At 42.2% G+C, this 21,762-nt stretch overlaps 2 protein-coding genes and 1 long non-coding RNA gene across 9 annotated transcripts in view, besides 3 other annotated features; 1 reads left to right on the top strand and 2 right to left on the bottom strand.

Moving 5' to 3' along the window:
- The window catches only part of ATXN7 (ataxin 7), a 140,319-nt gene extending 125,075 nt beyond the window's left edge, over window positions 1-15,244 (bottom strand). Inside the window, exons 1-3 of one of the 4 annotated variants that reach the window (NR_165270.1) lie at window positions 15,193-15,244; window positions 13,700-13,889; window positions 13,389-13,490 (exon numbers count right to left, since the gene is read on the bottom strand). The gene's annotated coding sequence lies outside the window, so the exon portion shown is untranslated. Of the gene's footprint in view, window positions 1-11,474; window positions 11,548-13,388; window positions 13,890-14,229; window positions 14,522-15,192 lie in introns of those variants that run through there. The other 3 variants (NR_165269.1, NM_001377405.1, NM_000333.4) reach the window with 3 other exon arrangements.
- Window positions 13,845-14,064: a silencer, noted in NCBI's record as "silent region_14500". NCBI's record gives its function as "represses an Ori minimal core promoter by ATAC-STARR-seq in GM12878 lymphoblastoid cells {active_cell/tissue: GM12878}" and the evidence as "EXISTENCE:reporter gene assay evidence [ECO:0000049][PMID:35858748]".
- Window positions 13,904-21,762, top strand: part of THOC7 (THO complex subunit 7) — a 30,615-nt gene continuing 22,756 nt past the window's right edge. For 2 of the 4 annotated variants that reach the window (NM_001285387.3, NM_025075.4), the window contains exon 1: window positions 14,583-14,616. Coding sequence is in view for 1 of the 4 variants with exons in the window: in NM_025075.4 (NP_079351.2) it covers window positions 14,598-14,616 (19 nt within the window). In the remaining 3 variants the exon portion in view is untranslated. Of the gene's footprint in view, window positions 14,011-14,582; window positions 14,885-21,762 lie in introns of those variants that run through there. The other 2 variants (XM_006713339.4, NM_001285404.2) reach the window with 2 other exon arrangements.
- Window positions 14,075-14,314: a silencer, noted in NCBI's record as "silent region_14499". NCBI's record gives its function as "represses an Ori minimal core promoter by ATAC-STARR-seq in GM12878 lymphoblastoid cells {active_cell/tissue: GM12878}" and the evidence as "EXISTENCE:reporter gene assay evidence [ECO:0000049][PMID:35858748]".
- Window positions 14,645-14,864: a silencer, noted in NCBI's record as "silent region_14498". NCBI's record gives its function as "represses an Ori minimal core promoter by ATAC-STARR-seq in GM12878 lymphoblastoid cells {active_cell/tissue: GM12878}" and the evidence as "EXISTENCE:reporter gene assay evidence [ECO:0000049][PMID:35858748]".
- Window positions 16,569-17,743, bottom strand: THOC7-AS1 (THOC7 antisense RNA 1). The gene is made up of 2 exons (NR_104326.1): window positions 17,392-17,743; window positions 16,569-16,889 (listed from the first exon to the last, which is right to left on the bottom strand). It is a non-coding gene; the product is annotated as a THOC7 antisense RNA 1 (long non-coding RNA).

Below are 21,762 nucleotides of genomic sequence, written 5' to 3'. Positions count from 1 at the left end.
CTGGCAGAATGGAGGGGCCAACGCTTACAATTCTCTAGGTAGGAGTCTGTTACTTGTCAAGAATAAAATGTTTACAAAGAGATGCCACTGCCTCCTACTTCTCCAGGGTTTCCTCTGGCTGATGGCAAGGAATCAAAGTCAGCTTTGTATTTTCACACTGAATACCAACAAGTTGTATCACTGCCTGGGGAAGCTGCCCTGTGTGTCACTTCACTTTTACTAGTTTTTCAGACCTGAGGACCTGCTTACCACTAGCCCAGGCAGAGAGGAAGAGAACCAACCATCTCCTATTACTAGCCACCTGCCTGCCATCCTTCCTTCTTTCTTTCATCCTGAGATAAATCTTTTTTCTGCACTAATGCAAAAGATGAACAGGATGAGAGAATTCTGCTGTGCTCAGCCTTGCCTGTCTCTTTAACAGTTCTGACCAGATTAGCACTTTTCTTTTTCCACAGGAGAGGACTGGCATATGCTTATACCATAATCTGCTTTGAGCTCCTTCTCTGGATTTTTCTCTTACCAAGGAGACCGGATTTGAGGTTAGATGTTAATTGAAATCACCTGGGAGTCTCTAAATACCTTGCTGTTACTTGGTGCAAGTAATCTGAAGGATACTATATTTGTGAATATTCGGGCATTCTTTTGAATAAGAGCTGATTTAAAGAATTTTTCCACGGGGTTGATAAGAACTTATGGCTCATATCAATAAGCCACTCCAACAAGGACCCCAAATGTCTCTCTCTGCAACCAGCAGGCATTTGGAGCTGACAAGAAACAGTTGCTAAGATAAAGACACAGACAGATATAGACAGTTGTCTAAGAAAAGATGCTCTGCTGCAAATCAGCCAAAGCTGGCCAAAGGGCCAGGCAGCTCTCATCAGCCTGAAGGCAACACCTGGCGGGCAGTCTGACAAGCAGTAGGATTAACAAAATTTGGTTCACACTATGTACCCATTTCTACCACTCTTCTACCCTTACTTCTAAGCATGCATTTCAAAGTATATTTTATTGGAGAACTCTATAAGCAGCTGGGGGGATATACATAAAATGTTAATAGTGATATCTCTGGGTAGAAGTATGAGTAACTTTTATTTCCTTCTATCTGTGGAATTTTCTGAGTTTTCTACAAACACTTATGATTTCTGTAATCACGAAAAAAAATTAAACAAAAACCTCTGTAAGCATTCAGGAATTTCAGTTTTTCCTTAAGACCCAAATTTATGTAATTCTTGAAACTTAAAATCTAAATTACCTTTCTTAGCTTTTGAGATTTAAGATTTTTCAATAGTACAATCATTCTATGGACTTTGCTCTTAAATTAAAAAAACCATTCAAAATGTGCAAAACAAGAATGCTAAATTGAATTTAAGGTGTAAATTTTTTCTGGTATACATCACAATCTTAACTGAGACAATTTAGATGCTTCAAGGTCAAAGTTCACTATTTTAATATTCTGAAGTACTCCGACTACAAATGAAAAAGAATACAACTATTTCTCTCTGTAAGAACGCCATGCAGATGATATCATATGCAGTTATATGGCTAAGAGACAGATAAAACAGACTGGTGTTTCCTCCACTACAAATGCTAGCAAATAAAAACTTTCCAGTCTACAGCTGATTAATACTTGATACCAGATTTATGGAAAAGAGAGCTACTCATTGCTGGCCATTAGCTAAAAGCACAGACACACCAAGAAACCTGCCTACTCTCAGATCAGGACCGCTGTTTATTATGACAACTGATTTTTCAGTTTAGTGCCATTTATAGTACTGAAAAATCTTTTCTAGGAGCTAGCTTTCCTCATAATCTATAATAGCTGAACATGTGTTATTCACTGTCTTGTAGTGTTGAAATATATTAACAGGGAATCTTGGAAACCATAAACATCTTTACTAGCTTCAGGAAGCTAGTAAATTTGAACAAGCGATTCCTTTAAACTGTCTTAATGTAATGACAAATGGTCTCTTTTCTAACTTCGATCTGCAAATGATTTATAGTTATAACTACCACAATAATAATAAACAGGGTACGGAGTGGAGGACACAGAGAATTGAGCCTTAAATATCTCCTCTTAGAGCAGCTAAGAGGAGCTATGAGCCAGAACACTAAAAATGCCTTTCTGTTCAGTATGCTAAAACTTAAAAATGCCAGTGAAAAAAGTATAAGGAAATGAAAAATACTTATTTTTCAATGTAGAACTTTACTCGCATTCTTTTCAGAATTAAGTTGAAGGATTCCAAAGGCTCACAGTATCTACAAAAACCATAAGACAAAAAACAAACAAACTAAAAATGCAAGAGGAAAAAATAGTTTTTTGACTAGTGCTTATCAAAACATGGTTAGAAGCTGTAGAAATCAGTGCCTGAAACAAATTAGAAAAAGACAACTTTAAAACTAGTGTTAAATGTCAGAACAAGGTTCCAAAAGCTACAGAAGTCTTGGGATGTGTGTATTTACAAAAAGGTCTGGCCAAACAAGAACCACCATATTACCACCACAGACAAGTTTATGATCCAGACTACAATGAAACTTTAAAAGTAATGGGGGGAAAGAGCCTAACATACAACCCTGCTATTAACAGAAAACTGTCTGGAGACCTTAATTAAACAAAAGTGTCAAGTGCTCCTCTCAAAACCTCTTGTAGTGATAGACCTGTCAGCAGAAAACAGCCAGGACCATATAAAAGAAGAGTCCAGGGGCTGAAAGGACGAGTGACTACATCACAAAGTGGTAATTACAGGGAAAAGAAATAAAAAAGGCCAGATCGAAGGGCTCCAAGAGGTACTTCAAACCCAGCTAATTGTGGCAAGAAGAGATGGGGTAAATCAGCTCCTCACCTGGCTATCTGTGGGGAAATAAAAAGATGCTGGGCCTCCAAGGCAAGAATAAACAGCAGCAGCTACTAATTACCAAGGTGACTACTAGACACCACCATTACACACTGTCATGGTCGGAATGTTTATGTCCTCCCAAATTCACATGTTGAAATCCTAGGCTGGGCACAGTGGCTCACACCTGTAATCCCAGCACTTTGGGAGGCTGAGGCAGGAGGATTACTTGAGCTCAGGAGTTCAAGACCAGCATGGGCAACATAGCAAGACCCTGTCTATTCAAAAAACACAAAAAATTAGCTAAGTGTAATGGCATGCACCTGCAGTCCCAGCTACTCAGGAGGCTGAGGTGGGAGAATCACTTGCCACTCAGGAGTTCAAGACCGGCCTGGACAACATGGCAAAACCCTATCTCTACAAAAAATAAAAATAAAATAAATAAAATAAAATCCTAACCCTCCAAGTTATGGTAATAGGATGTGGGACCTTCTGCAGGGTGATTAGGTCATGAGGGCAGAACCTTCATGAATAGGATTAGTGCCATTACGAAAGAGGTCCAGGAGCTTGTTTGCCCCTTCCACCATGTGACACCTTCTATGAAACAGGAAACAAGCCCTCATCAGACACACAATCTGCTGGCACCCTGATCATGGACTTCTCGGCCTTCAGAACTGTCACAAACAAAGGTATGTTGTTTACAAACTACCCAGTTTATGGTATCTTGTTAGAGTAGCCTGAACAGACTAAGACACACACCAACGTCACTACAATTAGGGAACATTACTCAAATGAGGCCAAACATTAGTTTACCCATCTCCAGTTCAGCCTGGAAACTTCAGAATCCAGAAAAGGAGCTTCTGCAGTTAGTAAACCACTGTTCTAGAACCACCCTCAATAAGGCATGGGCAATCAGAACACCTGAATTCTGCAGTAGTCTTAGGTTGGAGGGGAAATCACCCTTTCTAAACCTTATCCTCAGCTGAAAAATAGAGAAAATATCTCCTCTTCCCTGACTTCAAAGGATTGGAATATACAATGAAACAGGAGAACATACGTGCAAATGCTCTGTATAAAATCACACTGTATATGCACAGCATTTTATCATTTGAAGTGTGGTTTAACTCATACTTACAAAGGCCAAATAAATGTAAGTTGCCCCTTCAGCCTATAAGCTTTTATAAAGTCTAACATGCGTATTTTAAAGTATTAGCAAAGTTACAGTGAAAGCACTTAGACACAAGAAGACCGAAAAATAAATGCAGAGAAATTTGAGAAAATTTAGTGCAGAGACCATAAACTTTATCTCACTGGGTTCTAAGGGGATCACTATGCACTGGATAAAAATGTTTATAGTGACTCTGTTACCAACAAATGGTTAGAGTCTATATGCTTTTCTTTAAAAATGAGGAAAATGCATATTTTAGGAAAGATTATCATGTAAAAAACACATGTAGTATTGCATTTAGAGTGGTAAGTACCAGTAAGGTTAAATGGAAATAGACAGTGTAGAGCCACAAGAATGCTTTTAAAGATGGGAGTTTAAGAATCCTCGGGGCCAGGTGTGGTGGCTGATGCCTATAATCCTAGCATTTTGGGAGGCCAAGGTGGGAGGATGGCTTGAGCCCAGAAATGGGAGACCAGTCTAGATAACACAGTCTCTACAAAAAAGAAAAAAAAAATGTATTAGCCAGGTTTGGTGGCACACACCTGTATCCCCGGCTTCTTGAGAAGCTGCAGTGGGAGGACTGCTTGAGGCCAGGAGGTCAACGCTGCAGTAAGCCACGATTGTGCCACTGCGCTCCAGCCTAGGTGACAGAAGGACAGCTTGTTTCAAACACAAAACAAAACAAAACCCTTAGATGTAGGGTTGGGAAGGAGACGGGTGAACCAGGGATCATTATGGTGTCGCTTATATGTGATACAATGTCTAAACCAAGTCCACTCATAGTGGCCCACAAATGTTCAGATAGTAAATATCTGTTGGTTTTACCTGCCCTCCATCAATTCCCACTTCTGGGGAATGACAACTCCCCTAAAGGGTACTGGCTGAGTGAGGCAATAACCAAGGCACCTGCTGGGACCCAGTATGGGCCTGAAAGATATACTCTCAGTAGAAAGTGGGATTAAAAACTGCTGGAGAGGTTGGCCCTCCTGTATCCTGAGAAGACTGTCTACTGAGTCCTGCTACCTGGATCCCTGAAGCTGCTCTAGATCTGGTTCACTCTGAAGCCTGATTCTTTGGCATTGTTGTCACCACATCCCTCCAGTAATCTCTTTATGTTTAAAGTAGTCAGATTTAGTTCTTACTGCTTACAACCAAAGATCTCTGGCTGATTAGCTGTTATACTGTGTCTAGAAGAATTGCATTTTCTTAAAAATTGGGGGGATAAAATTTAATTTGATTGGCAAGTAATTAAACCATGAATTTCACATTGAAAAGGGATATATTATAGAGTAGAATACAAAATTCATGTAAAATTTTAAGATAATGGATTTTGAGATTTTAAAAACTACGCTTCCTCCCACTTCCCACCCTTCCTCTCTCCCTCCCCCATGCAAGTTCTTTAGTGATGGGATTAAGAAACACTGGTATAGACATAAATTTTCCTTAACTTTTAAGATCTGTCCCTAACTAGATAAAAGCTCTAGGGCAGGTTACTTAACCTTTCTAAGGCTCACTTTTCATACCTTTAAAATGGGATAATACTACCTACATGTAGAGCTGTTATCCCAAGAGGTAACACAGGAAACCATTTAGCACTGTTCCTCAGAACAGAGTTTTATCAATCATGGCAAACAAACAGAGTTTAGTTACTATAACAAAAGCAGGTTGGCACATATGTTGATGGCTGCAACAATTCCCTGTAGGCTATCCTGTGCAATATGACTTGGCAGCATTTGCCATCAAGAGGGGGTATCTTTGTCCAACTCCTAAAATTTGAGTTGGCCTTGTGACTTGCTTTGACTAGCAGAATATGGCAGAGTGGTACTGTGTGACTCTTAAGCTTAAGCCTCCAGAAACCTTGCAGTTCTCACCCTCCTGGAACAAAGTGCCTCCACCTGAGGAAATTTGATCTAGGCTGCTAGAAGATGAGATTATGTGGAGCTCAGAGAGATAGCCCAGCTTGACTAACTAGTTCTGACTCAAGACTTAAGAGGACTGCAGCCACATTAGTGACCTCAGGCCAGGCACTACCAATGGAGAACTGCTCTGCCCTAATTATGAGCAAATAAAATGGTATGTGTTTTAAGCCACAAACTTTTGGAATGGGTTGTTAACAATAGATAACTGACAGACATGCTTCATGAATTATCGTAATATTTCTATATTTTATAGTGTATTCACGTCCTAAAGTTTCCTATAACAAACTCTAAGGCCCAAAGTCCACAAAGAGTCACTATGTCACAGCCAGATGTGGTTACGTTTCTCATTCGTCAAGGCTAGATCAATGTTGCTAATTTCATATAAACAATGAACTGTATCTCCACCAGAATGTGGGGCATAGGAGATAGAACATACTCCAAAGCCAAAATAACTGAAGTGAAAATTTGCTAAAATTATCATAGTTAAACCACAAAGATGCAGGTGCAAATAAAGGTGAGTTGAATTTGAAGGTAACTGGCTAAGGAAAAAAAAGGAACAATTTAATTGATAATTAAAGCATTAAATTATAATCTGTTTTTTTTTTAAATTTAAAAACAAACCAGATTATAATAATGTTTAATAATCAAAATTATAGTTTTAGATTATAATTTAATAATTAAAACAGATTCTCCCCTGTAACAATTCTTGCTCCTGGCATTTTCTTCCATATACTTCAAAGATGACTAAAACCCTATTCTAAAAGTTCCATCTTATACATAGTCTCATTATATACCTTTTTTTCTATGAATAAATATTGACTGCATCATTCTTTTTAAAGATTGCAGCATATTCCACTACATGGATAGGCCCTAATTCACTTAATCCCCTATCCATAGGTATTTAGATCACTTTCTATGTTTTGTTATAAAAAAAGGACAGGTGAGCAATCTGGTACATACATCTGTGCATACTTCACCAACTGTTTCTTTAAATTCCTAGATGTGAATTTACCTTTTTTTCTTTTTTTGTAATGACTTTGGGTTCATATTGCCCAAACTGTTATCCAAAAGATACGTAGCAAATTTACTTTTTTTAACAAGAAGGAAACCCTTAAATGCTAAAAGTAAGAACACATTTTACACCTCTAATATCTATATATAAAATGGCAAACAATTTTTTAAATTGCATTCTATATCTAAAATACTGAGTCATGCCTCTTATACTGTATTTACTGTACATTTGGAGGGGGAAAAATCCTACAATACCCAAATAATCTCTAGTGGTTTTATTTTCAGCACAATGTTGTTTTGAAAAGGTAAACTCCAAAAAGAGTGTACTTGCTGCAAAATAAGCAAATCAGTAGAGAATGTTGAAAAGCAGGAAACGAAGCAAAAAATAAACCAATCAGTTAGAGCAGTTATCAGGTCACCAAATCTGCATCCTTACACAATGGCCAGGAGAGAAAGGTAGAGGGAGTGAAAAGGTGAAACTAAAAGAAGCAGCCCTCAGAGCTTCAGTGATGGCCGGATGAAATTACACACAGACATATATATCTACATGCTCTGTACACACCAATCCTAGAGCTAATCTCCAGGGGTTAGAACACAAGAGGAATTTTTGTGTGCTTTATAAAGCCAAACATATCATGCAGAAAGGGAATAGGGAAGGCCAGGATACAGATTTCCTTTAGGAAAGAATGTCTAGTTAGCAGCTTGAGAGGCCAGTATTAATTACTTCCCTTCCACGGCAAAGAAGGATTAATAGGAACATTAAGCAAAAGACAGCTCCAAAAGCACTGATTCCCTTCAAAAACCATCACATCTGAGAGGGTCCAATCATCAAGCTCTATAAAAAAATGGGCAAGGTGAGAACACTTAACAATAAATAAAATTAATTGGTGACAGAATCATGCATGTGCTAAGGCGGCCACACAATATGACTAATAAAAACTTATTGACTGAAGTTTCATCCTATCCAAAGAGATGAGGCATTAGATCAAACTGCCATACCAAAAGCAGAGTATGCTAAATAAAACAGCAGTGTGTGAGCACACACACACATACGTGTGTGTGCACATGTTGGGGGTGGTTGCTTGGCAATGCCACAAATCTATGCATCTAATATTCTAGGCAAGGATTCTGCAAATTATGGCCCATGGACCAAATCTAGCTAAGATTTGTATATAACAGGAGCTAAGAATGACTTTCACATTTTTAAATGGTTGAAAAAATAAAATATGACGTGACACATAAAAATTGCATGAAATTCAAATGTCAGTGTTCATCAACATTTCTTGGAACACAGTCATACCCATTCATTTATATCTATGAGTGTTTTCCTGCTATCATGGCAGAGCTGAGTAGGTGTAGAGACCTGGATGGCTGGCAAAGTAAACAATATTTACTATATGGTCCTTTACAGAAAATTTGCTGATCTCTGTTCCAGGCTATAAAATCACACAGTTGTTTGATGGATCACAGCTCCAAACCTGTGCAGGCTTGTTGGTTTGGCCCCTGACATATCCAAGATTTTGATATAACCTGCCAGGCCAATAGAGAATGCAACCCCATTGGCTAAGAACAATGGAGAAGTCCAATAGGTCATCAAGATGTTGGGATACCTGCCTATCATAACAAGAAAATGTAAAAGGCTTTTCTGAGTTGAAAGTAAGATGGTTCCAGAAGGTCTAAGTGGGAATAAGGATGAATAAAGGTATTCTCTTTAAAAGGATGTATAGTATCTCTAGCAGGGTGCGGTAGCTCACAGCTGTAATCCCAGCACTTTGGGAGGCCGAGGCAGGTGGATCACCTGAGGTCAGGAGCTCAGGATCAGCCTGGCCAGCATGGCGAAACCCCATCTCTACTAAAAATACAAAAATGAGCTGGGCGTAGTGGCACATGCCTGTAATCCCAGCTACTAGGGAGGCTGAGGCACGAGAATAGCTTGAACCCTGGGAGGCAGGAGTTGCAGTGAGCCAAGATCATGCCACTGCACTCCAGCCTTGGCAACAATGAGCCTCTGTCTCAAAAAAAAACAAAAAGAAAAGAAAAGAAAAAGATGTATGATATCTCCTTCTAAAGATGAGAATGTAACTGTCTTCAAAATGGCTACCACTTTCTGAGTACTTACTAGGAGCCTAGGAGTAAGCAAAACTTTTTTGCATTTATTATCCCATTTAATGGTCATCTCCTCTAGACTCAAAGAAGGAGACTGGACCAAGTTGAACACAACCAGAGAGCTCAGGAAATGAGAATCAAGGCCATATTCAAAGCCTAAAGGCTGTGTTCATAACCATTTCCCAACCCAAGGGCAGAAAGCATAAATGATCACCACGAATAAATGACAGGAAAGGTTAAGACTATAGAAATAGTAGAAGCAAGTTTATTTTTATGGCCATAAGCATTATACAGTATTTTATTTACGTATCTCACACTTTCTTTTGACTCATAATGCCCTCTCTTACTTCAGCATTTAAAGTAAAATATGATTCAGTCCTGCCAGACCCTTTCCTATTGACAAAAATCAACACAGGTACCCAACTGTGAAGGCATTTTAAAGACAGCAGAATTAGACAACTAAAGTTATAAGTGTAACTTCCACCCATGAAGTCCCTGGGTTACCTGTGAAGGTCTCAAAACGAAAGGAGTGCTGAAGCACTTTTAGGGGTGATGGACTATAAAGTACATGTGCAGTATTTTAGTTTTTTAATTCAGATTATAAGTGAAGAGAAAATGTTAAATGGAATCTTGCCCACAGAGAGAAATATAATGCTGGTGGGTGGCTATCATTTCTTCCTGCCCAGCAGCATCCATGTCCTCCCCTCTGCCAAATAAACCATCATTTTCCACTTTCCTCTAAATATCTATATTTGGGGACCACTCAATCCTAACTCATTTTTGAAAATCTTTTTCTTAAAAAACAATGTTTTAAGTGTTAATATCTTCATCACACCAATTTGGAAATAATGTACTTATTATCCTATACCATGAATATACATGTTTCCTCAGATGTTTATTAATGGTTCCCCAAACCTGGCTTGTAAGTCCTTCTTGCGGGCCAAAGAGGAGCTAAGACTTTTATACGGGAAACTTCTAGCTAGCCTCCCAACAACTCTACTAGTTAGCCATATCCAGATGAGTAACTGAAGAGTCAAGCAGGGTAAGTAGCTACAGTGAATAAAGGAAACCAAATTTGAATTTTAAGTCTATTTTGACTCAAACTGTGTTTTTCCCATCATGTTCTACTGTCCTGCCAAGGCACAAACACATTTTCTTACAATGATTCCCTTTGAGTCAAATTTCAAATTTTCTGGAGAGAAGAGAGTGGAGCTGAAAGACCCATTTACTCCAACGGCTGGTGTCAAGATCAAATCTTTGCTTATCTACCATCAAACGATCTGGTCTGAATTTTTAGATATAATTTTTTAAAAACACAGCCACAGTACATGCAGGACTAGCACGTCAGACCAGCTTGGCTTATCAACTGATAGGCAATGCTTTGTTGTGGGAATAAAATGGAAGTGCTTTTACACCTCTAAGTCTGAAGACAACTTTATTTATTTATTTGTTTGTTATTTATTTATTTATTTCAGTGTCTTACTCTGTTGCCCAGGCTAGAGTGTAGTGATCTCGGCTCACTGCAACCTCAGCCTCCTGGGTTCAAGTGATTCTCCTGCCTCAGCCTCCTGAGTAGCTGGGATTACAGGCCACACCACCACGCCTAGATAATTTTTTTTGTATTTTTGGTAGAGATGGGGTTTCACCATGTTGGCCAGGCTGCTCTTGAATTTCTGACCTCAAATGATCCACCCGCCTCGGCCTACCTCAAATGATCCACCCGCCTTGGCCTCTCAAAGTGCTGGGATTACAGGCATAAGCCACTGTGCCCAGCCTGAAGATAACTTTAAAAGGCAAGTAACGAGCACACAGATCTACTTTTCAAAAATGTTTTTTTCTCTTTAGAATGGTCATTCTGTGATGGCTCATGACTGTAATCCCAGCACTCTGGGAGGCTGTGGCAGGAGGATCACTTGAGCCCAGGAGGTCAAGGATGCAGTGAGCCAGTTTCATGCAATTGCATTCCAGACTGGGCAACAAAGTGAGACCCTGTTTCAAAAGAAAAAGGAAAAAAGAAGAAAGAAAAGAAAAGAATTCTAACTTCCATTTTATTCAATAAAAAGATGTGTCTCTAATTTTTTTAAGTCCTGGATCTCTTTTCTAAAACAACTACAGACCCTCTTCCAGAAAAATACACATACACAAAAAGTTCTGGTCACAACTACAGGGAGTTCAGGAATCCCTTGAAACCAACCCTTGGAGGGTCACAGACCCCCAGGATAACTCTTGCTCTAAAAGCATAGTACAAAATTCCTTACATTATTTCACAGACCCAGAATAAAGACCATATATAGCTAGCTCTCTCATAATTTTTTATATTTTCAGAAAGCAAATATCAAATAAACACACAAATTTTCTTAACTAGTCTTTCATATTCTCAAAAAAAAAAAAACCCAGAAATCTTATGACTCAAATAAATCAATAAATATAAGGTCATACAAGTTCAAAGTCTGAATCAGTTTTCTTAAAATCTGCTACTTCCATTTCTGTGTTTCTGCCCATAAAGATCTGTCTTGAAAAGAAGAAACATTAGTATGGTAAGGGCTTGAGTCTTTGCTACTTTAACATTCATCAACATGTTAATATGTAAAAAGAAGACCACTTGTAAAGTTTACTAAAAGATGTTCTCTCATATATATGAGATATACGATATGATGAAAAGACAATTCTTAAATGTTCAATGAATAGATCTGTGTCAATGCAATTGCAAGTAAAATCATGTAGCTGACAAAATAGATTTTAGAGTTCATAAAGGCTCAAATTATGTGTTTCCCACCACTTGAGTCAAGAACTTTCAGGCTGGACACAGTGGCTCAAACCCATAATCCCAGCACTTTGGGAGGCTGAGGCGGGAGGATCGCTTGAGCCCAGCAGTTTGAGACCAGCCTGGGCAACATAGTGAGATCATGTCTCTACAAAAATAAAAATAAAAAACTTAGCCAGGCATCATGGAACATGCCGGTAGTCCCAACTAGTTGGTAGGCTGAGATGGGAGGATCACTTGAGCCCAGGAGTTCCAGGCTGCAGTGAGCCCTGATGATCGTGCCACTGCACTCCAGCCTAGGCAACAGAGGAAGGTCCTGTCTCAAAAAAAAATAAAATAACTTTCAGGAATGTTTATTTTCAGGTACAGCTCAAACTTTAAAGTCTTTCAAATTCCTCTTGGTCTTATTACTCCAGAAAATTTCTAGCATCATCCAACAAAATTATAGGTTATCAAATTAACTTATAGAAATGTTTGAACAGCACTCCATTTATGAATAACTCAGAGAGTATCTCACGAAAATTTAAGTTACAGGGGGCAGTGATACTTTCCCATGAAAATATTACAGATTATTTTAAATCACTGACACTGTTTCAAAATCAGTATTATGATAAGATTAAGAAACACTTAAAAAAAACTTTTCACCACATGACAATTACTTTCTTTTTTTTTTTTTTTTTTTTTTTTTTTTTTTGAGATGGAGTCTCGCTCTGTCGCCCAGGCTGGAGTGCAGTGGCGGGATCTGGGCTCACTGCAAGCTCCGCCTCCCGGGTTCACGCCATTCTCCTGCCTCAGCCTCCCAAGTAGCTGGGACTACAGGCGCCCGCCACTACGCCCGGCTAATTTTTTGTATTTTTTTTTAGTAGAGACGGGGTTTCACCGTTTTAGCCGGGATGGTCTCGATCTCTTGACCTCGTGATCCTCCCGCCTCGGCCTCCCAAAGTGCTGGGATTACAGGCGTGAGCCACCGCGCCCGGCCGACAATTACTTTCTAAACAATAACTATCCCCACCAAAATGCAACTTGGTATTGTGAACCCCAATCAATTGACAATTTCAGTTTACAATCTGTAGTACTTAAGATTTAAAACAATTCTTCTCTTAGAGTGCCCTGTCTCCTAAAACCAAGGAAATGAACAGGGTCTGATGATGCCCACCTACAGCCAGCGTTTAGGTCAGTATTTTTTCAAAGTCGGAAACTTCATACCTTAGGGGAGAGCAAGTCACATCTCAGAATCTTCATGTAAAGTAATTTTTGTCTTTGTGACAAAAGTCAAGTTCTTGAGCACTAATTCTTGAGAGCACTGTAATGGTATTATTGAAGTCACTGGTCTCACATAATATGACTAAAATTGTACATATTTCTTGCTAGAGGTTAAACACACTTCACTTTAATACATTTGCATCTGCAACTTCTCCTCTTTGAAAGAACTGGGGGAAAACAGGGAGAATGTACCTAAATTTAGTAAGGAAAGTGAAACAACCAAGTTTATCCTACACAACTTCTTCATCCCGGATATGAAGATGCAAGATCTACTTGGGGGACAGGAAAATTGGAAAACAACGGTATGGCTGAATAAAATAACAAACCTGGGTTCAAAATGAGACACGATCCTGGTGCTAATCGTATCTATCCCACTGGAGGTCAAATCAGCTGCACTGGTGCCTGTTTCCTCATCCACCTCTCACCACCTAAACGTGCCATTTACGAGAAAGCTATCGAAGTTGAATCAAAGTGACTTTTGGAAAGAGATGCCAATATAATTTGCAGTGTGCTCCAAACAACTACACACAAGGCAACGTTTCTCATTGAGCACCCCCGCCCCCACTTTCAACTTCCCCTTAAGATAGGGACAGTCACATAGACATTTTTTGAAAATCAAAGAGAAAAATAAAAGCACCCCATCACGATCACCGACGAAATCCCGACTCTGTGGTGGAATTGGGTGCCGGGTGAGGACGATGGCAACACGCTCCTGGTCGCTTCGCGAACTCCTCCGGGAGGTCGCCAAGTTTCTCTTTCACCCTTTTTCCCGCACCCGCCGAGCCCAGGAAGGAAGGGGGCGGCCGCAGGGGCCGGAACCGCGCGACCTGGAACCCGGGGCCTTTTTTGATTGCCGGCCGCGCCCCGCGCAAGTGCCGGCGTTCGAGACCCGCCCCAGCGCGCGTGGGCGCCAACTTCGCGGGGACCCCCAGCGACGCGCCCCCCTCGGTACCCCTAGTCCCGCCTCTCCTGGGCTCAGCCGGATCCGGGCGTCCCCGTCACCCTCCCCACCCCCCAGGGAAACGAGCCCACCCCTAGCAGCGTCACCCTGGATGGGGCGGCGGGGCCGCAGTCACCTTCCCGGGGAAGAAGCCGGGACCCCGACTGCGGGCGGCCCGCAGCTCCCGCCGCACCCCCGCAGCCCTGGCGGCGTCCGGGCGAGCTCACCTGGCGGCTGGCTGCGGCCTCCGGGGCGGCCTCTGGGCGTGGGCCGGGCGGGGGCTGCAAGGGGGGCGGCGGGAGCCCGGGCTGCAGCCGGGGCCGCCGCCGGCCGCCAAGCCTCGCCCCAACTCGCGCCGGCCGCGGCCGCCCCCGGGGAGTACCGGGAGCGCGGGGAGCGCGGGTCCCGCGGCGGCGGCGGCGGCGGCGGCGGCGCGGCGCGGCGCGGCTCAGGCGTCGGAGCAGGCGGCCGCGGGCGCCGCCGCCTCCTCCTCCATGGCTGTTTACCCGGCTGCATTGTGGGAGTTTGACCTCCGCCGCCGCCAACCGCCGCCTCAGCTTGCGCCGCCGCCGCCGCCGCCGCCGCCGCGCACGCCATGGGAGCCGTGACTGACGGTGAGGCCCCGCTCGCCGCCACACGCGCCCGCTGCACGGCCCGCTGGGCCTCCCCTGAGACCCCTGGCCTCCCGGCCCGCTTCCGGGAACCCCTCGGCCTCCCCGGCCTCTTCGCCAGAGCGCTTCGGCCTTCCCGACCTCTCCCCGGAGCCCCGGGCCTCCCCGGCTGCTTCCCTGAGTCCTTCCTCCTCTCGCCAGAGCCCGAGCGCCCCTCGGAGACCCTCGGCTTTCCCCGTCCGCTCTCCCGGAGGCAGCGCGGGGCTATAGGGTGTGCCGGGAGCGTGGTCGGTGGGCTGGGAACACACGTGGGTGGCCGAGACGGCTAGAAGCGGTGCAAGGGCGGGTGGGACCAGAGGGAGTCCGGGTTTGTCTAGGGGCGCGGTGAGGACCCAGGAGCCGCGAAGGGTGGACAGTGGTGCCGGGCTTAGGGCTGGGGGCCTGGAAGGTTTGTGGAGGTCTGGGAGGGAGTGGGAGCTCCAGGGACGGGGCGGGAATTTCGGGACTCGTCTACAAGGGGTGTCAGGATACAGAGCGTGACACCAGGAGGGGTCCTGGGGCATATTGGGAAGCACTCACAGACAGTGGAGTCGATGGCAATGAGGCCTTGAACTGCGAGTGGATTGTGGGTGAGAAGGAGGAGCAGGGAATTATTTATAAAAGGAATAGATAGGGATGAGGTATCCGGAGGGTGATCAGGAAGTGTACCTGGGAGATTTACGGGGGTAAGGAGGAGCCAGTATAGTGATGAGACCGTCTAGGGTAGATCAGGACGATAAAAGATGTATGTGTGTGTGTTAGGAAGGGTGGTTGTCAGCTGGGATGAATTTAGAGGGGCAAAGGCTGGGTTTGTGGACAGTCTAAGGGAGATGGTCTATGGACTGAGAGCGGAAATAAGGTGACACTTTGGGGGAAGGGGCATGATTGGCAACTGGAGGGAGAACCTACAAGGTATCTGGTTAGGGAGGAAGGAGGTCCTTTGATATCTGGGAAGGGGATATCTAGGGCTCTTGGGTGTTTTTCAGGAGATGGTGACCGGTAACTGTAAATGCCTGTGGAGAGGCCACTTCTTAAGAGTTGAAGACCACCAGGGTCTCCACATTAAAGGGCCTGGCCATGGGAAGAACAGTGATAGGCCCAAATTTCCAGACTGATAAAGAGTAGTGGAGGTGGGAGGCTACTAAAGACCCAGGAACTTCATGTGGAATTTCAGCTTTGCTTCATTCCAGTTTCATTTATTTAGTGGATATTTATCCTTCCTGGACTAGGCTTTGGGATTACAACCCAGAACTAACAAGCAAGAACTTTTCCCTCTCCAAAATTTTGGTCTGAAGGGAAAGAAACATTGACTAATGAGTTTTAAGAGTGACAAATATTACCACAAGGAAGTACAAGGTTGGGAACTGTAGGAACATGTAACAAAGATTATTTATCCAATCAATGGAAATGAGAAAGCCTCCTCGAAGTTAATCCCATTTTTGAAGAATAAATAGATATTGGACTGGTGTTCTGGGTTGGTAGCCACTTGTATAAAGACCCCAAGATGTTGGAAGAACTCAAAGCTGACAAGTATTGCTAGAATTTAGAAAGTTATGAGCCAGAGATCTCTAAGGGCAATAGGAATCCATTAAAAGTTTTAACACTGGTGTGGTGTTAATCAGATTGGCATTAAAACACACACACATGCCGGGCACAGTGGCTCACGCCTGTAATCCCAACACTTTGGGAGGCCAAGGCAGGCGGACCTCTTGAGCTCAGAAGTTCAAGACCAGCCTGGAAAACATAGTGAGACCCCATGTCTACAAATACAAAAAAATTGGTCTGGCACAGTGGCACACACCTGTAGTCCCAGGACTTGGGAGTCTGAGGAGAAAGGATCACTTGAGCCTGGGAGGTTGAGGCTGCAGTGAGCCAAGATCGCGCCAGTGCACTCCAGTCTGGGTGACAGAGTGAGACCGTGTCTCATTAAAAAAAAAAAAAACACACACACACATACACACTGTCTCTGTTATGTGCAGAATGATTAGAGGAAGAGAAAATGAGGAGCTAAGTTTCCTCGCCACTTACTAACGTTTACGTAGTGCTGTTAGGTATTATTCTAATTGTTATCCCCATTTTACAGATGAAACAGACACAGGTTAGCTTGCCTAAGGTCGCACAGATAGTAGTTATAGAGGGTCAAAGGCAGGGAGACCACCTGCCGAGTTCCTGCTCTTCACTATTATGCGTCCTGTGTCTGCTACTTCTGCAGTGGCCCTGGTGAGAGACAATGAGGACTGTGACCAAGAGGGAATGCAAAGAGGACAGGTGGGAGGGAAATAGGGAAATTTGTGAGGTAGAATGTCAGGACTTCAGGTATTGAATGGATGGTGGGAGAAGGGATTTAGGATGATCCCAGGTTTTTGACTTCACTGTGTGCCTGTTAGTGCTACTTTTCTATTTATTGAGATTGAGATGTCCAAAGGAGCAACAGGCTTTGTCAGATGGGAGATAGGGACAGAAGATGAGTTCTAAAGTAATGACTGCAGTCAAGTGCCCCCCCACATCCTTAAAAGCCACAGGAATCTCTACCCTGCCACTTACAGACTGTCTCAGCTTCAGTCTCTGAACGGAGATAATAATAAAATCCACATCAGCGGATTGTTTTGAGGATTAAACACAAAAAGTTGTAAAGGGCTTTGCATTGAGTCCAACACATAATAATTAATATTCAGTAAATATTAATGTCAGAGTTGTTTTACTAATCTGTCTTCCACTTTCCTTTGATGTGGACTTTGCCTTCTCTCTTAATCTGCACAGGTTGCCTTTTCCTGCCTTTTCTATCAGGTGACACTCCACTTATTCCTCAAGACCCACCTCAAAAATCCCCTCTTTTCTTTCCTAGAAGTAGTTGACCTTCTGCCTACTAGCCATATTATTTTATGCATATTGCTGCTGTCACCCTTAATACGTTATTTATATGCCTTATGCTAGAAAACATTTAAGGCAGTTCACTGTAATGAGAAAATATAAAAATTAAACGGATTAGAAAACAAGACAAAAAGAACATTGAGATTAGGAAAAATAAAGGGAAGTCAGAAGTGGGGTGATCCTCAAAATGCAGGAGGATAAAGTCTAGTACATTAATTAACCAAGCTGTAAGTGACCTGTTTCTCCAGTAGGCCATTCTGAGAGGCAGGACCTCGTCTGCTCTGTGATCTAGTGTTCATGAGAGAAGGCAATCTTAGATGCCCAGGAAAAGCACTTTTTTTTTCTGATTTGAACTAGAGGAAAAGTTTATCATTGAGGTCTTTATAAATGAAAGCCAGTGTCATATCCTTAACCTCTTTTCAGCACTGAAGATCATAGAGCTGTTTTGTAGCACATCCCTTGCTAGGTAAAAGAAGGCTAAATCACAATTTAGAAAGACATTCTAAAGCCAGTAGAGGCTGGGTGTGGTAGCTCACACCTGTAATCAATCTTAGCACTTTGGGATGCTAAGGCAGGAGGATCACGTGAGCCCAGGAGTTTGCGACCATCCTAAGCAACACAGCAAGACATGATCTATACTACAGAATTTTTCAAATTAGCCAGGCGTGTGTGGTGGTGTGCACCTGTAGTCTCAGCTACTCATCTCTACTAAAAATTTTCTTAAATTAGCCAGGTGGAGTGGAACACACCTGTAGGTAGTCCCAGCTACTCAGGAGGCTGAGGCAGGAGGATCACTTGAGCCCAGGAGTTTGAGGTTGCAACGAGCCATGATTGCACCACTGCACTCCAGCCTGTCAACAGTGCTAGACCCTGTCTAAAAATAAATAAATAAAATCAATGGACAATGTGGTTTAGGTGGGTAGTGGGTAGCTCTGCTGATCTGGCTTGATTCAAATCAGGGTTTTTTGATTGAATATCTAGACCATAGAGGAAAGACAAACTACAACTTCTTCAGACAATCCTCTATAAACATGGTTTTTGTCAGCTGAGCTTTTGAAAAAATCAAGCTGAAATGAGTGGTATGTGTGATCCGTCAACAAGTATTTATTGCATACCTTCTAGGCACAATGCGAGGTCCTGGCTACTTTGCAGTGAACTAGACAGAGGAGGGCCCTGGCCCCTGCTTTGGGGAAAGAAGCCATAGTGTGCAATCAAATAAGTAAATAAGATAATTTCTGAAAAGGAATGTAATTAAGTTCTGAGAATGAACTTGATGGAATGAGGACAGAGAGTAATGGGGGAGGGCAGTGATACCTGACAGGTTCAACCACATGAAGAGCCCAGGAAAGTATTCCAGATAGAGACAACAACTAGTGCAAAGGCCCGAGGTGAAAACAAGCTCTGCACCCTTTAGAGGAAATAAGGAAAGCCACTGGGCTGGATCTAGGGACAGGACTGCATCCAGGTGGGCCAAGAGGAGTACGATGCAAAAGGAGGTAAAAGGGAGCTCAGGAGGAGCCTTGCAGGCTTTGGAAAGGAGACTGAATTGTCCTTTGTGGGCATTTAGAAATGATAGGAGGATTGTAAGCAGGAGAGTTAGTGATCCAATTCATCTTTTAGATCATTCTGAGTTGCATAAAAAATGGATTCTAGGAAGGCAAGAATGGAAACAGGGAGTCCAATGCAAAATATTCCAGATGAGAGAAATGTGGGCTTGGATTAGAGCGATGTTAGTGTGGAAGATAGAAGTGGATGCTCTTGATATCTCATTCATCCTCCTGGAAAGCTCTTGGAGGAGTACCAGTACCTGTCCATGGAGCTTACATAAGAGCCAATGTCTTTTACAAATTTGATGTGCCTGTATCACTGTCCCTTCATGTAATCCATTCCTCTGGGTCTGCGTATCCAGTTGGACTGGGAGCTCTTGAAGAAGCAGCCCTTTATTTCCTGCACTCAGTTTGAGGAACTGCCCTGCTTTAGAGTAGCTATAGCTACTAGACTGGATATTTTCACCACTACTGTCATGTTATAAGTGAAAAAGTAGAGGTCTTTGGAAGTTAGTGACTTGCAGTCACACAGGTAGTTTGTGACAAAGCCATTTTCTCTCCTTCCCTTGTTGCCAACTCTAGCAGTCTGGCTAGCTGAAAAACAGTGTGGATGTTGTCACTGTTAATTTAAACTATGTTAACTGTATTTTGTATGTGTTAATTTAAAGGATGCTAAATATTGTTAGTACCCTGATAGAAATCATTTCAGAAGCACTTTTTGCACTACAGAGAACATTAGGTGATATATTGATATGCCAGAGCAACAGATGAGAGATGGAGAAAGGGGTTGGGGTGGAATGTGGCTCTACATTCTATTTAATAAAGCTTGCTGGTTTTGACGGTAGCTTTTTTTTTTAACTTAGAAAAATGTAATGCATGAATATGTACTTGTTGCAATGTGAAATAATGGTTTTTAATATGCCTACGAATAATATGACAGAATAATGGAGCTGCATTATGACTTTCTAATAATGTAATTGTATATATTTTTCTGTGAATGCAGAGGTGAGTAGTAACTCATCTGTGAAAGGAAGATAATAGTACACACTTTGTAGAGTTGTTTCAAGGATGAAACATGATAATATATGTAAAGCACTTTGAAGTTGAGTGACCATTTAATTTATTGTGTAAACCAGGACACTTTTCAGAGTGAAAAGAAACAAATGGGTTGTGTGGTCACCAACTAGGGTGGTATAAATGCTGTGCAAGTGTTTGCTGCTGCTGTTATTCCTATTTCAATTGCTGATCCAATGTTAATTAGACATTTGTGGGCACAGGGTTCTTTTGTTTTTGGGTTTTTTTTTCATTAGTGCCATTGCATTTGCCCACTTTCTTCCATCTTCTGTGGCCCCAACACAGGGATAACTGCTGCAGTTCAACTATGAAATGATGTTTCTTTAGCCAAGATAATTGGTTTTTCAAAGCAAGATGGACATTTCACCTTGACTTTATTAGCACTATACTACTCTAAACATTTAAATAGAGAGAAAAGACAAAGGACCTCAACATGATGTTTTGCATTTATTTTCCTTTTAAAATTTTAAATTTAATTTTGGTGCACGTAATTTACCTTGGCATCAGCAATTTATGTAGACCAGTCAGAAGTATCTTAGGAGAGGTTAATATCTACATGGAGGAATCAAACCATCTTATTGTTCCTTCCACCCACCTTTTATGTGTCTCCTTAATATTGTTGACCTTAAAAATTGTTTTAATGGCTTTGAGCTTTTTGAAAGGAGGGACCAGGTGTTATTTTACCATAAGGAATGTAACACAATGGGCTAATATGTGTGATTCATCTTAATAACATGAGCTGTGGTGGTCTAACGATAAATCTTACAGGAATCTGCATGAACATTTTTTTTACATGGCCTTAGTCTCTCTTCTTGTTCATTTAAAGTAGGTCAAATCAAGCCAGTTTTCTTTGTTGTTGTTAACATATCATAGCTTTATTCAGTAACGGAGTAGAATTTTTAATACAGAGAAAATGAAGTACCTGAGAATGATAAATAAGTTTACCACCCAGTTAACCACTGTTACTACTTCATAAAAAAAGTACTACATGTCAGTAAATTCAAGAAGAAATGCACAATATGAAAAATGAAAACCTTCCCCTCTTTACCTTCCGTAATAATTCCTCTCCCAGAATGATTTTTAATGCCTCTAAAAGGTAAAAGTATCTTCTCTGGAGCCTGACTCCTGAGTTTGAGTTCCATTTCTATTCCTTACTTCCTGTGACATTTAATTTTTGGCAAGATGCTTTTTCATTGGTAAAATAGGGATAAGAATATCTATAATGAGGCCGGGCAAGGTGGCTCACGCCTGTAATCCCAGCACTTGGGGAGGCCGAGGCGGGTAGGTCACGAGGTCAGGCGTTCAAGACCATCCTGGCTAACACGGTGAAACCCCGTCTCTACTAAAAATACAAAAGAATTAGCTGGGCGTGGTAGCGGGCGCCTGTAGTCCCAGCTACTTGGGAGGCTGAGGCAGTAGAGTGGCATGAACCTGGGAGGCGGAGCTTGCAGTGAGCCGAGATAGCGCCACGCACTCCAGCCTGGGCAACAGTGCAAGACTCTGTCTAAAAAAAAAAAAAATCTATAATGCTGTTGTGTAGATTAAGTGTGTTTATATGTGAAAAGCATCTAAAGCAGTCCTTAGCATATTTAAGTGTTACGTATCTGCTGGCTAGTAT

This window comes from Homo sapiens, chromosome 3 (assembly GCF_000001405.40).
Source record: "Homo sapiens chromosome 3, GRCh38.p14 Primary Assembly".
NCBI lineage: Eukaryota > Metazoa > Chordata > Mammalia > Primates > Hominidae > Homo > Homo sapiens.
The sequence above is the reverse complement of the archived record's forward strand: the minus strand, read 5'-3'. Positions and strand labels throughout refer to the sequence as shown.